At 35.6% G+C, this 16584-nt stretch overlaps 1 protein-coding gene across 16 annotated transcripts in view, besides 1 other annotated feature; it reads left to right on the top strand.

The window, feature by feature from the left end:
* Window positions 1-16584, top strand: part of OSBPL8 (oxysterol binding protein like 8) — a 207975-nt gene that overhangs the window by 20362 nt on the left and 171029 nt on the right. For 4 of the 16 annotated variants that reach the window (XM_047428254.1, NM_001319652.2, XM_005268621.6 and 1 more), the window contains exons 2-4: window positions 1424-1453; window positions 2369-2406; window positions 5129-5176. The exons of 7 other annotated variants lie outside the window; for them this stretch is intronic. The gene's annotated coding sequence lies outside the window, so the exon portion shown is untranslated. The remainder of the gene's footprint in view (window positions 1-1423; window positions 1454-2368; window positions 2407-5128; window positions 5177-16584) is intronic. 5 more of the 16 variants (XM_017018769.3, XM_047428251.1, XM_047428249.1 and 2 more) reach the window with 2 other exon arrangements.
* Window positions 7686-8414: an enhancer, noted in NCBI's record as "NANOG-H3K4me1 hESC enhancer chr12:76924776-76925504 (GRCh37/hg19 assembly coordinates)". NCBI's record gives its function as "activates a minimal SCP1, AML or CMV promoter by ChIP-STARR-seq in primed H9 embryonic stem cells {active_cell/tissue: H9 hESC(primed)}" and the evidence as "EXISTENCE:reporter gene assay evidence [ECO:0000049][PMID:30033119]".

The following is a 16584-nucleotide window of genomic DNA, read 5'->3' as shown; positions in this document are numbered from 1 at the left end:
AACTTTGGCATTTATTTTTCTAATATTTTCTTGTTACCTTTACATATGTTTAAATTTCTTTGCCCTTTTTGACTTTTTGCTTAAACACTTAAAAATTTTACTTATTTTTTCTGCATAGGGTTTTATTAAAACAGAGACATAAATACGCATAGAGAAGAATATTGAGAAAATGAATGACTCCAACAATGGCTTCCCTAGGCAGAGCTTTAATTTAAATTTACTTTTAAAAAAGTTGATATCTGTCTTTTTTTTTTCTCTGTGTGGCTGTTGGGTGGCATGGTTTTAAGGTAGGTGGTTCAAAATATACTTCCTACCCTAAGTAAGAGATTCAGGATACTTACCCTCCCCCTCCCCCCCCCCAGTTATTTAATAGCAGGCTCTTAGGACTTCTCATTCCTTTTTTATTCCTTTCAATTTTGAACTTCATCCTCGAAGTTCTAATCTTTTTTCTTTTTTTCTTTTTTTTTGAGATGGAGTCTTGGTGTGTCACCCAGGCTGGAGTGCAGTGTTGTGATCTTGGCTCACTGCAGCCTCTGCCTCCCAGGTTCAGCCTCCTGCCTCAGCCTCCCGAGTAGCTGGGACTACAGACATGTGCCACCACAGCCGGCTAATGTTTGTATTTTTAGTAGAGATGGGATTTCACCGTGTTGGCCAGGCTGGTCTCAAACTCCTGACCTCTAGTGATCTGCCTGCCTTGGCCTCCCAAAGTGCTGGGATTACAGGTGTGAGCCACTGCACTGGGTCTCAAAGTTCTGAATAATATAGATGTCCCATAGACAAATTTCTTACCTTTAAATAAGTTTGTTTACAATGATAAAGCCTTTGAACTATACTTAAAGGGCTTGCTCTCATGTTGCCTGTCATCCCTTTAATCATTCTTACAGGTGTTTGATTTAAAATATTTCATAATCCTCATTTAAAAATAATCTATAGCTGTGTCACATTCCTAAAATCTTCTTTCAACAAAAAAACAAAAGTTAGTGACAGGTCTTGACTAGTGTTTTATTGCTAATCTTATTATTAAGAATTGTTTTCCAATTTGTGTTTCTTAAAATAGGAATAAATATATACTTTTAGTGAATATATAGTTAGTGGTTTAAAAAGTATTTAATAGTGTAAAATACTATCATGAAAAGAAAAATTATTCATGATTCTGAGCAATATAACACATCAAATTTTTATGTGTTTGTAAATATTTTAGTGACTACATTGATGTATAATATATGGGTTCAAAAAGCAAAAGTCGTTAAGGTTATTCTTTAACCTCTACATTCTCTACTCTGAGTCAAGGTCTCTAATTGGTATGGCCTTGATGTAGATGGAGCAGATAAAACCTTGTTAGTTAGCTGACTGCCACTATATAACAGCCTTTCTCAATAAAGAGACTTAAATTAATTTAACCCTGTAACTTTGTTGTCCTCAGCAATCTCCATTGGTGCTACTGCGTTTAAAGGTCAGTATTACTGTCTTTATTTATTTTATTTTATTTATTTATTTTTTAGACATGGAGTCTTGCTCTGTTGCCCAGGCTGGAGTGCAGTGGCACGATCTCAGCTCACTGCAACCTCTGCTTCCTGGGATCAAGTGATTCTCATGCCTCAGCCTCCTGAGTAGCTGGGATTACAGGCACCCACCACCATGCCCAGCTAATTTTTCTATCTTTAGTGGAGACGGGGTTTTACCATGTTAACCAGGCTGGTCTTGAACTCCTGACCTTAAGTTATCCACCTGCCTCAGCCTCCCAAAGTGTTGGGATTACAGGTGTGAGCCACCGTGCCTGGCCTGTTGTCCTTTAATATTTTATTTCTCATTGTGAATCTCTCTCATCGTACATTTCTGTAGATTTCTCTCATTCAGAGAACTTAATTTGCTCAAGTTATTACTATAACTATTATCTTTGTTATCTCTTCTCAGTGATAAGACATTGAAAATAATACTTTTCTGTATATGAAACACTGTTCTATAAGCAAAATCTTAAGATTTAAGTTAGTTTGCACATCATAACAGTGGTAACCCTGCATTCTTTAATTAAACACGTTTAAATGTATAAATGTAAAAACAGTTTAAAGTTATAAATGCCCAGGAATCCTGATCTTGGTCATACTATGTCTGTTGAAATACAATTTTAGTGTCTTGATACCTTTTAAGTAGTATGCTATGAAATAATTCTTGTTGTAGCTGATTAGTTACTTGGGCAGATTTTCTTGTATCTTATTTTCCAAATACCAGTCATTTATAGAAATCAGACTTTGCAAAATGTAAAGGCTTTCATAGTTTCAGAAGCACAGGGACAGCTGCACAGCAAGTCCATATGTTGCTTAGCTATAATTATATTTTAATAATTATAATTTTTTTTTCTTTTGGGAAGAACTGTGGCTAACCTCCAAGAGACTGAAGCTGGTAATTGTAAGCATTCTCATTTTTTAAACACAAAGATAGAACTTTTTATTTTTCTCTGTTTTAAATGGTTGAATATATTTATCATGTATCATAGCATCCACTGGATGAAGTTACATTTCTGGGTCCTACTGTAACATTTAAATGAGTGTTCGCGTCAGATGGGAAGATTACTCGTTTTTTTTTTTTTTTTTTTGATACTCCTATATATGGATTTGCTGCCACAGGCATGCTAATTTTGCCATCTCATACATATGACTTGCTCCTTTCCGCCTCCGTTCTTCTGCACATTACCATTCCCTCCACCTGTAGGTCTCTCCTTCCTTTCCACCCATTTCCTTTTCTCTTTTCAAAAGTGGCATCTTAAGATAATTTCCTCTAGAAATTCTTTCAGGATTTATTCCATGTTACTTTTACTTATTTTCTTTGCTTCACCTTAACACTTACCATGGGTAGATACAAATTCAACTAATATGAATTGTGTTGCTGTAATTTACCAGCATACATAGTGTTAAGTAGTACAGTGATAAGATTAACTATCTCATCTATTTTTTACAGCTATCCTGTGAGTTATTCCCATTTTTACAGACAAAATTAATTATCTCAGTTACACTCTTGGTTTTAGTTGGGCTTGATTTTTTTTTTGGTATTTTTAGTATTTAATATTTAGTATTTTAGTATTTAGTATTTGGTATTTTTAGTTTCACCATGTTGGCCAGGCAGGTCTCTAACTTTTGACCTCAGGTGATCTGCCCGACTCGCCTTCCCAAAGCGCTAGGATTACAAGTGTGAGCCACCACACCAGGCCTAGTTGTGCTAGATTTTTTACATTTTTTCTGATTTTAAACATTGTTACTTAAACAGCATCATTTTGCCTTTCGCTACTTCTGTAGTCTTTCCTGCTTTCCACCTCACACCCCCCCAATATCACTTAAAAAAAATACTAAAAAAAACCCAAACTACTTTATTCAGGTATAATTTACACCTGAATAAAATGAAACCATTTTAAGTACATAGTTTGATTCATTTTGACAGATGTATACACCCATGTTACTGCTACCACAATAGATACAGATATAGAACTTTCCATCAGTCCCCAAAATTCTCTTGTGCCCTTTGAACTTAATCTTTCCCTTTCCTACTCTATGTCAGACAATGACTGATTCGGGTTCTGTTACTGTGGATTGCTTTTGTCTGTTCTAAGATTTCATATGAACGGAATCATAGAGTATGTACTCTTGTCTGGTTTATTTTGCCCTGCATATTTTTGAGATTATTCCTTTTTATTTTGGGATAGTATTCCATGGTATAGGAATACTATTACAGTATTGTAATGAATATCCAATTTGTTTATCCATTCACCTTTTGATAGACATTTGACTTGTTTGTAATTTTCGGTTATTGTAAATGAAGCTACTGTGAACATCCATGTACAAATTTTTGAGTGGACATGTTTCCATTTTTCTTTGGTAAATACTTAAGAGTAGCTGTACCATTTTGCATCTCACCAGCAATGTATGAGAGTTCCAGTTGCTCCCCTTCTCATCAACACTTACATTTTCAGTTAAAAAAATTTAATTAACATTCTAGTGGTTGTGTAATAGTATCTCATTGTGGTTTTTCATTTGCGTTTCGCTGATGACTGTGGTAGTAAGCATCTTTTCTTGGATTTATTAGCCATTTGTATTTTTTTTTGTAAATTGTTTAAATCTTTTATTCATTTAAAAAATTGTTTTCTTATTGATTTCTTATTGAAGGTTCTTTATATAGTCAGAATCTGAGTCATTTGTCTAATATATGTGTTGTGCATATTTTCTAACAGTTTATGTCTTGCCTTTTTTAAAAACTTTTTAAAGAGAAGTAATTTAATTTTTTGAAATTTAGCATATCTGTTTTCTTTCATGGTTTATATTTTTTGCATATCTTAAGAATTTTTTTGTCTACAAATTTTTATTTTCCCATTTTTATTCTAGAAGTTTTATAATGTTGGCTTTTGTATTTAGATTTGTGATTCATTTTGAGTTAATTTTTGTTTAGTATAAAAGCCAGGCTGTTTTGGTTGTTCTTGTTGTTTTTAATGAATATCCAGTTTTTACTGAAAGTATTTTCTTTTTCCCAGTGGGTTTCCTTGGCAGTTTTGTTGAAAATTAATTGACTCTGTTTATGGGTCCATTTCTAGACTCCTTATTCTATTCCATTGATATATGTGCGGTATGCTAGTACCACATTATTTTGAATGTTTTTGTAAGTTTTGAAGGTAGTGTAAATCTTCCAAACCAACATCATCTCGAAAATAGTAAAAAAACTTTGCATAGTTTACTCTCTTGACCTCATTGCTTGTGTGTATGTGTTGCTGATTTTTGTTTTTCATTTGTTTCTTTTTGTGAGTTTCTGCTTTCCAAGATGTTGCCACCACCAGGGACTTCCTGCTTGTTATTTTCCAATGCAGATATTGTATATATTAAGGAAGAAGCAAAGTACTTTCAGCTAGTCGGAAGGAATTAGACAGCAATTGGTATTCTTCTTTAGCCCGTTATTGGTAGTAAGCAACTCTAGATTCCAATAGTATATGATTTTTGACAAGGTCAGTAAATTGGGGTTGCAGCAACAAAAGTGTGTACCAGAAGCCCTGTGTTTAAATACCACGTCTGATACTTGACAGGAAATGAAATTGTAACACTTTTCAATTTAAAATTGTGTTTCTTTTCCTTCTTCGCCCATTCTTTAACAGAAACATTCCTATCCTTGCCTGAAGCAGTCTTTTGCAGGAACATTTGAGGTACTGTAATGGCAGTTGCCAAACTATAGTGTGTGTTAATTGGGAACATGTTGAATTGAAGAAAAATGTTAGATAAAAATTGCATTTAATTTTGTTTCTGACTACATATAAATGGACATTTAAAAAATCTCATTAATGAATACAGTTCCTGGTTTCAAAATAGCACTCAGGTATTTTCCCCTTCTTAAACCACTTTAGTTTACAGTAAAAATATTAGGAGAAAAGGTAAAATGTAGCATATTCAATTATAATATTGATTATATATGAATGTTTTATTTCACGTGTATTTTTGGTCTTTCCGATTAAATCGTGTGCTTTCCTAGATAGAGATTTTATCTTCTGTTTATTTTGCCTCATTTCTCACCTACTGGAAATGACTATAGATGTTGGTTATGCATTTGAATTAACTTGTTTTGATGAATAGTAAGTCCCAGGCTATAGTAGGAATATAGATGTATTTTTTTTCCTACTGAAATCACATTTGTCCTTTGAAAGACATTTCTAAGCTTTGCACTTGATAACAGCTTAGAATTTTGGAAAACCGGTAGGTAATGAGGTGGAGATGAGGTTAATAATCTCATTTCTGAGCGCTTGAGTTTCTCGCCTTTAAGTTGTTGATATAGACTGATCGTTGTTAAGTGCTTTTGGAGGGCTGGTCATCACTTGTTTGTGTCTGCTCCTGTGTTTGCCTCATAAAGACTTCAGTGGATTGCAAGATCAGTCAGACAAATGGAAACATCAGTCAGCTGCTCAAATAGATATTTTTAGAAATGTTTTTCTTCTTAGTCCTAATCATGAAGTTTACCGCAAATCCTTCATTTGATAGTGGGTAAGAGGAAATGAAGCAGGAGCTCCAGAGAAGGCACCTTGAGTAGTAGGATCCAAATGAAAATTGAAGAAGAGATTACATTCCTGAGTAAACATTTTTTTCTCCTTATGATTATTATCAAAACCTGGTCTTAAAAAAAACCTGGTTCTTGCATATGGTTATAGGATAGGTCTTATGTAATGGAGTTTAAAAACCTAGCAAGAAACACATAAATGAATACTATGCTATTGTATTTTTTTCTTATGATAGGATATATGGTGTTTTAAAATGTTCTATGTCTGACATTGATTTTACTTTTGTAAATTCATTTAAAAATATTTTGAAGTTAATTTTTATTTTATTTCCTTATTCAAAGGTAGACTATTTTGGTTACAAATGTGTTAAATAGTACCTATATCAATTTAGGGTTTTTCGGTTCAAGTAATAGAAAGGTTTGGGTAACTTAAATGATTTACTAGGATGATAAGCTCATTTTCTTCCAAGATGAAAAATGGAGTTTTAGAAATAGTAGACATTTGAACAGCTTTAGGGATCTAGAGAGCAGAAAGCAACAATCTTTGTGGAGCCCCCATTAGGATAGTTTTTTTTGTGATTGTTTTTCATTCACGTGATCACTCTGCTTGTGATTCACATTTATCAGAGAGAGAGAGACAGGCATGGACTGATTGGTCTGGCTCTTTTTTTTTTTGTCCACTCCTTTTGCTAGGAGAGCGTGGAGTACCAAGATTGCATATGTTGGAGGAGGGATGTTCCTTTCCCAAAAGAAGATCAAGGTGGATGTTAACAGAGGAAGGGGAAATGGGTCCGGACAGGTTAAAACAAAAATCCAATACTGCCGTAGTTTCTAGGTGGATATAACATTTTTAGAAATCTTATAATACAATATTAACTTCATTGGCTGAACCCAAGCCTTTCAGCCTTTATAGATTTGCCATGATCCTAATACATATAAGCATTCATTGTATTCATTATTAATTACTTCATAGATTCAGTGTGTGACGAAGGGAGATGATTTTTAACAAATAATAAAGTGAAATGATCTAGTTTTGCTATGTTGTTTGAGCAACATCAAATAGTTTTGCTTAAAATAGATAATTTATAGTGATTTTTTTTCACTATGGTATTTTCTTAAATATATTAAGTGCTTTTCATTTTCTGATACCACCTAGTTTAATTGGGGGTGAATATCAGAGAAATTAGAATGTTATTTCAGCTGAAGGAGTACAGTTTTTTTTTCTCTTCTTAGAGAATATAGTGCCTCAGATACAGTCCACAACAAAAATTTTTGTTTAGAAAAGAAAAATTTTAAGGAACAGATTTGTCAATTTCTGTGTATTTTTTGGTCAGTTTTTTTTTTTTTTTTTTTTTGAGAAGGAGTCTTGCTCTCTTGCCCAGGCTGGAGTGCAGTGGCGCGATCTCGGCTCACTGCAAGCTCCGCCTCCTGGGTTCACGCCATTCTCCTGCCTCAGCCGCCTGAGTAGCTGGGACTACAGGTGCCCACCACCATGCCTGGCTAATTTTTTGTATATTTAGTAGAGATGGGGTTTCACCGTGTTAGCCAGGATGGTCTCGATCTCCTGACCTCGTGATCTGCCTGCCTCGGCTTCCCAAAGTGCTGGGATTACAGGCGTGAGCCACCGCACCCGGCCTTTTGGTCAGTTTTTTTTAGTGCGCAGTACTTAATTACTATACCTTCAAAACTAAACAATTACTATACCTTCAAGACTACTGGATTTGATTTTAAGTTTTACTACATGGCCTGTTAATTCAGTTATCTCTCCCCCAACCCACACATGTTGAAGGCTTTCAATTGTTTCCTGTTTGTATATACACAGTACTCTTCACATATTGTCACAGTTTGATACATCTTATTAATATTTTCCTGTCTCCTCATTCTCCATTTCTTAAAATCCATGTGGGTTTGCCAAAAAGGTGCCTGTAGAAATGTACAAGCAATTGGTCTGAAGGGACTAGTTTTTATAACCTGAGTTGGACCTAACTTGAATGATGGAGGGAATACTTTATTACCATTGAATTACTGAAAGTCAAATTTAGATTGCTGATCTGCTTGGAAGCTAACTAAGAAAAGGAGAATGGTGTCACTTAAGTAACACAACTTGTTTTTCTTTGTGCTTGTTTTATGATGCTAAGTGAGTGATAAAAGGTGATACAATGACTTTAAAAAGCACTTCTGGTGGTTTTATAAGGCAATTTTCCCTGCTCTTGCTCACTCTTCTCTGTCCTGCCACCATGTGAAGAAGGTCCCTGCTTCCCCTTTGCCTTCTGCCATGATTGTAAGTTTCCTGAGGCCTTCTCAGCCATGTGGAACTGTGAGTCAGTTAAACCTCTTTTTATAAATCACCCAGTCTCGGGCAGTTGTTTATAGCAGTGTGAGAATGGACTAACACAATGGTACTATAACATTTAATAAAAATAATAGGGATGGCAATTTATTATGTCTATAGTTGGGTTCATTTATGTAGTTCATTGATGAGAACTTATGTTGTTTCTGGAAGTGGAAGATCTTCAGTCTAATACTCCTTTGTTAGTTATGTCTTCAGGGAAGTGAATTAAGCCTTCATGCCTTTATTGCTTTATTATACTATAAAGAGTCTGTTTGCTTGATGATAAAGTTAGCTCCTTATCTCTGCCAGTCCACAATTCTTAAGTGTCTAAGGAGCACCTACTGTGATAGGCACCTCCTGTGATAGGCACTCTTCTAGGTGTTGGGAATACCTCACTGAACAAAACAAACTGCTTATGGAGCGCTTCTATTTGGGGATATAATATACTATACTTACATGTGGGGATATAAACAAATGTGTGTGTCAGGTGTTAAGTGTCTTGGAAAAAAAAGTAGTTGGTAAAAAGATGAATAAAAGAATGGGAGGAGGCAAGTTGCTATTTTGCTATTTGTAGCTAGGATGGTCAGGGAAGATCTATTTGATAAAATGGCATTTAAACAAAGAAACCTGCAAGAAGTGAGAGAGTGAACCATAAGGAAGAGTGTTTTAGGCAAAGAACAGCAGATACAAAAACCTTGTGGTGGCTGGGTGTGGTGGCTCACAGCTGTAATCCTAGGACTTTGGATGGCTGAGGAGGGAGGATTGCTTGAGGCCAGGAGTTCAAAACCAGCCTTGGCAACATAGTGAGACTTTTCTACAAAAAAAAAAAAAAAAAAAAAGCCAGGCCCGGTGGCACGTGCCTATAGTTCTTACTACTTGGGAGGCTGAGTAAGGCTGAGGATCCCTTGTTTCCAATAGTTTGAGATTATAGTGAACTATGATCTTGCCACCACACTCCTGACTGGGCAACAGAATGAGACCCTGTGTCTAAAAAGAAAAGAAAAAAAATGTGGAAATCTGCTTGACATGTTAAAGGAATATCATATCATAGAGGCTTTTGTGGATGGTGCAGAATGAGCAATCAGCATGTTACTTCACTACTCTGAGCCTTAGTGTCTTCATTTTGAAAATGGGGCTATAGTGAAAAATTACTTGCTTTATAGGGTTTATGTGATGACTACATTATGTAATAATGCATTTAAAGCAACTAGTAATGTGTCTTCGAGTATAAAGTGGATCATGTTCCTGCCTTGCATAGGCTTTTCATTGGTTTCCTCTTTCACAGTGAATAAAATCCAGACTCTACTGTCTCTAGAGCCTTATCTCAGATAGTTCTCCTCATTGCTTACTATGCTTTAGCCATGCTGGCCTTTGAATAATGAGCCTATTCTTATCTCGAGTCTTCTTCCCCCACTAGCTTCTTCAGTTTTTCACAGAAAGGGTTTCAACGATGTATTCAGATACAGATCTACTGTTTTAATAGAAAGCCAAATGAACAGTGGCTTAAATAAGAATTTTTTTTTTTTTTTTTCTGTTTGGTAGTAGCAGGTAGGTAATCCAGAGCTGGCATGACACTGCTATTCTAAGGCAAGTACAAATGGTTAGTTGCTTCATGGTTTAGAGGCTCAAAAGGTTTCAGCTGGGTTTCGTAATCTGACATACCTTCTAAGCTTTGATTAGGTTTCTACAAATCCACTCACCAACTGATTTGTTTTTGGAAGGGGATAGTAACAAGTGCCCAAGAAGGGAAAAATAGCAAGGATTCCAGTTTTCTTAAATTTATTTTTCTGAAGTTTTAGCATTATCTTGTATTTTCCTTATAGTGTGCACCTTAATATCCTAGTTCAGTTTCTGATTGTTAGTTCATAATGCTTTAAATAATTGTTGTTCCTAAGCAGAAGCCCTTAGTATAAGAAACAGCTTAGAATCCTTAATGTTTCTCACATTTGAAATTCATAATGATATTTTAGCTTTGTCATAGTTAAAAAAAAACAAAACAAAACTAAGATTGAAATGAAGTAGTGACATAATAACTTCATACTGCTTTTTCAGAGGTAGACCACACTACCCCTGTTTTGGACTTTGGTATCCTTGGTTAATTCTGGCATAAGATTGTGTTATAGCTTGAGAGGAGGTTGGGAGAAGTGAAAAATTTGATGAAATTTTAAAGTTGCTATACTTTACTTATTTTTATTTTTATTTTTTTGAGACAGGGTCTCCCTCTGTTGTCCAGGCTGCAGTGTAGTGGCGCCATTATAGCTCACTGCAACCTCTGCCTTCTGGGCTCAAGTGATTGTCCCACCTCAGCCTTCCCTAGTAGCTGTCTGTAGCTATAGCTATAGCTAATACTATAGCTATATCGTTGTGTGGGTGTGTGTGTGTGTGTGATTCTGTTACACTTCCTTATCTTCTTTGGCTTGTGACAACTATCTTTTATTTTAGGATGTACCCTTTCTATAGTACTCACTTGATTCATTTAATTTCTGAAGCTTTTTGGGTGATGACTAACTTCATTGCAGAGGCATTTGGTTATTAAGACTGGACTCGACAAGGCATGATTTATATATAAAATATAAAAGGATTGTTCAAATTGTCTAAAAGCACATAGAAAAAATTCTGGTAATCAAAACTAACTCTTATTTACAAGAGTGAAGTTTCTTAGAAATGGCTCGTGAATCATGATTTCATCTTCTGTTATTAATAATAATACTTTTTTTTTTTTTTTTTTTGAGACGGAGTCTCGTTCTGCATGTAGCCCAGCCTGGAGTACAGTGGCATGATCTTGGCTCACTGCAGCCTCCGCCTCCCAGGTCCCAGTTCAAGCAATTCTCCTGCCTCAGCATCCCAGGTAGCTGAGATTACAGGCATGTGCCACCATGCCCAGCTAATTTTTGTATTTTTAGTAGAAACAGAGTTTCACCATGTTGGTCAGGCTGGTCTTGAACTCCTGACCTCGTGATCCGCCCACCTCGGCTTCCCAAAGTGCTGGGATTACAGGTGTGAGCCACCGTGCCTGGCCAACAATAATGCTTATATATTAGAAGGTAAAATGCTACAGGGGGTTGTATTTGGTAGCAGTTAAGTAGACAGGGATAAACAGACAGTTGGAAGACAACTCTTTATTGATTTCTTGCATTTCTGCATATCTTGCAAGTAAAGCACTGACTGCCTGTTACTCTAGACTACCTTTTCAAGAATGTTTATCTAGTGAGCAGCCTTGGAAGATAATGATAGTATTTTCCTCCTTAGGAAAAGAAAAGGCAGGCATTCTTGCTGTCCATTATAAAATATTTGGGTTCCCTAAGCTCAGGACTCTTCTGTATTGCAACTCAATGTTTTTTGTAGGCATTTCCCTGGGCCTGTCTTGGTATGGATAAGATAATTCGATAACTAGAAAAGGTAGGAAAGTAATTGGAACATGTAGGATTCTCCAAACTGATGGCTTTACAAATGTTTTAAATTTTGCTTCACTTTAAAGAACTACCCGTAGAGCTCTCAGACCCATGTATTATAGCTGTGGTTTAAACAAGGAAGATATGTAATTCTAATTGACAGATTTATACTCGATGATAAGGCTTTCCATCAAAAGATTGGAGATATATGTATATTTCAGTTGTAATAAAATGTTTAACATATTGTTTTGGTTTCCTACTTGAACTGATTTTTCTTTTGAAGAGCTGACTTTTTCCTGATTAGGTAGGATCAAAGGGTTTTAATTGAAGTTGAAAAACCTTAGAAAACTGTAATTAATGTACTTTATTGATTGGTTGTAGTTATTGTAAGTTGCCTCATGTTGCACAATCCCCCCCCACCCCGGCCCACCACCCTCCTTAATTTATTACTCTAAAGACAGGTCCTAATATGGACCTTAAAGTTGAGGTGGTACCGTATACCTTACATTCTTTTGCATTGCAGTGATTATGTCAGCAATATATAGACAGCAGGTAAAACTGCTGGCTGTTAGATTGTAGAATATTAGAATTTTAATGAGTGTCAGTAATTGACATTTTAGCCTCATAATTTTACTTATGAGGAAACTGAGGTCCAGAGGTGTAAAGTGGTTCACACTTAGTTCTCAATAGAGCTCTGGACTTAAAAATGAGATTTACTGGCCAGGCATGGTGGCTCACACCTGTAATCCCAGCATTTTGGGAGGCTGAGACGGTGGATCACCTGAGGTCAGGAGTTCGAGACCAGCCTGGCCAACATGGTGAAACCCTGTCTCTACTAAAAATACAAAAATTAGCTGGGCATGGTGGTGCACGCCTGTAATCCCAGCTACTTGAGAGACTGAGACAGGAGAGTTGCTGGAACCCGGGAGGCGGAGGTTGTGGTGAGCCGAGATCGCACCATTGCACTCCAGCCCAGGTGACAGAGTGAGACCCTGTCTCAAAAAAAAAAAAAAAAAAAAAAAAAAAAAAAAAGAGATTTACTGATAGCAAGTATAACATTTGTGTATCTCCTCGTGTAATTTTTACAGTTATATATTATATATTAGAAAATATGCAGCTTTTGACTTAAGCCAGTAAATTCATGGATTTTATTAGTTGAGGCTAATCAAAGTTAAAGGCCAGTAAAAAAAAATTAAGTAACTGTATACTAGTAGTGCATAGCAAAAATTATGAAATTGGTACACTGACTACTGAGAAATGTTGATATGGGGGAAAATCATTAAATTCATAACTGGCGGCATAATTAAAGTATGTGGCTGATGGAGAAATAAACATTTGAAAAACGTTCAATTAATACTTTTGTGATATATATATCAATAAATAGAACCCACTGATGTAATTATTTTCTATTAATGGAAACTTTTTTTAAATGTATACATCTGTTTTCTCCTCCTGGATTGTTTAAAACGTCTGTCATAAGACGACATGTAATACTCTATGTAGAAATTTGTTTCAAGGTTCTGTGAATTAAAATTGAAATAGTGTGTATAAGAACAGTTAGCAGAAGTGGAAAGCAACACAAATGAACTTTTCATGTACAACTTACACTGAAGTCCACAACTCTTACCTATGTATATATCCAAGTAACCACTATTCAAGTGAAGATATAGACTATTTCCAGCACCCCAGTAGGCTCTCCTGTGCTCCCTTGTAGTAACTCTCCCTTCAGGGATAAGCACCTAGCACAATGGTTGGCACGTAGTAGGTATTCAAAAATACTAGTTCAGTGAAATAAATGAAGTCTTAATATTTTACATAATTGAATGGGTTCTTTGTACATTACAGTTTTTACCTTTGTAGTTTTCCCTTTGTTTTTTTATTTTTGTAAATGTTTAAAATGTTATTACATTTGGGGACATTTTTCTTTTATTTTTTATACTCCCTCAAAGATAAGTTATTTCTTCATGTATTAGGTAAATATTCAATTTTCAGTTCCTCTGTCCAATAATTCAAAGTTAAAATATTTGTCATATTTGATCTGCAGTTAATTTTGTTGTAGTCTTAAGTTTTTTCCCCCCAATTTGAGAGTAGACGTTTTAAAGTTCAAATAGATCAATTATCAGTTAAGAGCATATGTATCTACAGTGTTACCATTTATGCATAATGAATATTGCTCTTCCCTCAAATTACTTATATTCTGTGTCACACACCAGTAATTAACCTCACATTTAGTTTTGAACATTCTTTGACTTATTACATAAGTAATGGTCATGTCAAATAAATATTTGGTAAAAATATCACATATTCCTTTTCCTCACTTTTTTAAAAAGACCTTCAGAGATTGTGTTACTTTATGTGTATATTTTTCTGTTTACTCTTTTTCATATATAAACTTTATATAAATATTATCCTGTAAAATATCAGGAAAATTTCTTAATGACATAAAATATCCAGCAAATGTTCAAATAATTCTGAGAAATTTTTAAAAATTTATTCGTATCAGGATTCAAACAAGGTCTATACACCTCAGTGGTTAGTATGCCTCTCAAGTATCTTTTAAGCCATAGGTTTCTCCTGTTTTTACCCCCCTTTGCAGTTTGTTAAAGAAGCCTAGTTGTTTTGTAGTTTACCACAGCCTGGAGTTTGCAAATTGATCACCGTGTGTCATTTAAAATTGTAATTATGGCTGGGCGCAGTGGCTCACGCCTGTAATTCCAGCACTTTGGGAGGCTGAGGTGGGCGGATCACCTAAGGTCAGGAGTTCGAGACCAGCCTGGCCAACATGACGATACCCCGTCTCTACTAAAAATACAAAAATTAGCTGGGCGTGGTACTGTGCACCTGTAATCCCAGCTACTTGGGAGGCTGAGGCAGGAGAATCACTTGAACCTGGGAGGCGGAGGTTGCAGTGAGCCAGGATTGTGCCACTGCACTCCAGCCTGGGCAATAAAGCAAGACTCCGTCTCAAAAAAAAAAAAAAAAAGTAATTAGATCTCTAGTCTTGATATGAATTAATTTTGATTTTCTTTTCTTTTTTCTTTTTGCCAAAAAAAACTTCACAGTGGTATATACTTTGTATCAGGAAGTGTGTAATACCTGGTTGTCCTTTCTTTGTTTTTAAAACAAAAGCAACACTTTCCAATTATTATACCCGTTTTTCAGGATTTGTGTGAAGATCAGTGATGGTGTATGGAAAACATTTGGGAAAGGCCCTGCCATTTAAAAAAAAATTTAATTGCTCTTACTACTCTTATTTGGTTTTCCAAGTTAAATTTTTAGTTGTACTGTCAGTAGTTATAGGATGCTAAAAGGCCAGCAGAGTTGAAATTATCACCTCCTAACAAATAACTTATAATCTTCTAAGATTTAAATTTGTACATAGTTTTTTCTATGAAATTTTTGTGCCTGCTATTATATTGCTTTCATAGACAGTTTTTAATTTAGGGTTATAGTTTGGTGCTTATGGACATTTTTATTCCTATATCTTATTTAGCTCCAATTTTATTTATTATGAGAACAGTCTGTTAACAACATTAAAGGATTCATTCATTCATCTTAGTGCCATTTTTTCTCTTTCCTTCATTCTTTGTTTATGTATGTACTATAAATGATTCTAATTCATAGTACTTATATACTGTATTTTGTTTTCTAAAAAAGTTAACGTATCATAATCTCTTTTCCATATTGTTTTATAGTCATCATAGTCTTTTAAAGGGAAGTTATGCTTTGCCATTGAGAAGATTTGTCATATTCATAATTTCTTTGTTTTTTGAGTTAAATGAAGAGTTATATTGCTATTTAAGTTTTCTTTTTCTTGGAAGTGAGTACATGGATGTCTAAGTCTGCTTGGGCTGCTGTAATAAAATACTGTAGACTAGATGGCTTAAACAACACATTTATTTTCTACAGTTCTGGGGGCTGGAAAGTCTGAGAGCAGGGTGCCAGCATGGTCAGGTTCCAGTGAGGGCTGTCTTCCTGGCTTGCAGACAGGTGTCATCTTGCTGAGTCCTCACATGGTGGAAACAGAGGGGAAGCAAGCTCTCTTGTATCTCTTCTTATAAGGGCACTAATCCCAGCATGAGGGCTCCACCCTCATGACATGATTACCTCCCCAAGGCCCTATCTCCACATGTCATCACATTGGGGATTAGGATTTCAGCATGTGAATCTTGGAGAAGATACAAATACTGGAGAGGACATAAATATTCAAGTTCATAGCAGTGAGGAATTGACTTTTTATAAAATACCTGTTGTTTAAGTGCTCTAAATTTTCCCTTTGACTCTATGGATAGCTGCTACATTCTCTGTGAACTCCACCCTTATTCTTCCATTAGCCTTGGTTTCAGGGAAGAAGAATACTTTAGAAATGTGGAAAGAACAAAACAGTAAACTTTCCTTCCCTACTCTCCTTTAAATTTTGTTTTCCTCTAAAAAATATAAAAATAAGTTTATGGTTAATTTTTGAGCAGATAATACAGGTTAACACAGTAGAAATAACAATTTCTTACTGGAAACTCTAGATAGGAACCTGGCTGGGCATGGTGGCTCATGCCTGTAATCCTATCACTTTGGGAAGCTGAGGCGGACAGATCACTTTATCCCAGGAGTTCAGGACTAGCTGGGGAAACAGGGCAAGACCCCGTCTCTACAAAAAATACAAAAATTAGCCAGGCGTGGTGGTATGCGCCTGTAGTCGCAGCTACTTGGGAGGCTGAGGTAGGAAGATCACTTGAGCTCATTCACAGTGAGCTGAGATCACACCATTGCACTCCAATCTGGGTGACAGTGACATCTTGCCTCTAAATAAATAAATATAGGAATTTACTATATTTTAGTACTTTT

This window comes from Homo sapiens, chromosome 12 (assembly GCF_000001405.40).
Source record: "Homo sapiens chromosome 12, GRCh38.p14 Primary Assembly".
In the NCBI taxonomy this organism is placed as follows: domain Eukaryota; kingdom Metazoa; phylum Chordata; class Mammalia; order Primates; family Hominidae; genus Homo; species Homo sapiens.
The sequence above is the reverse complement of the archived record's forward strand: the minus strand, read 5'-3'. Positions and strand labels throughout refer to the sequence as shown.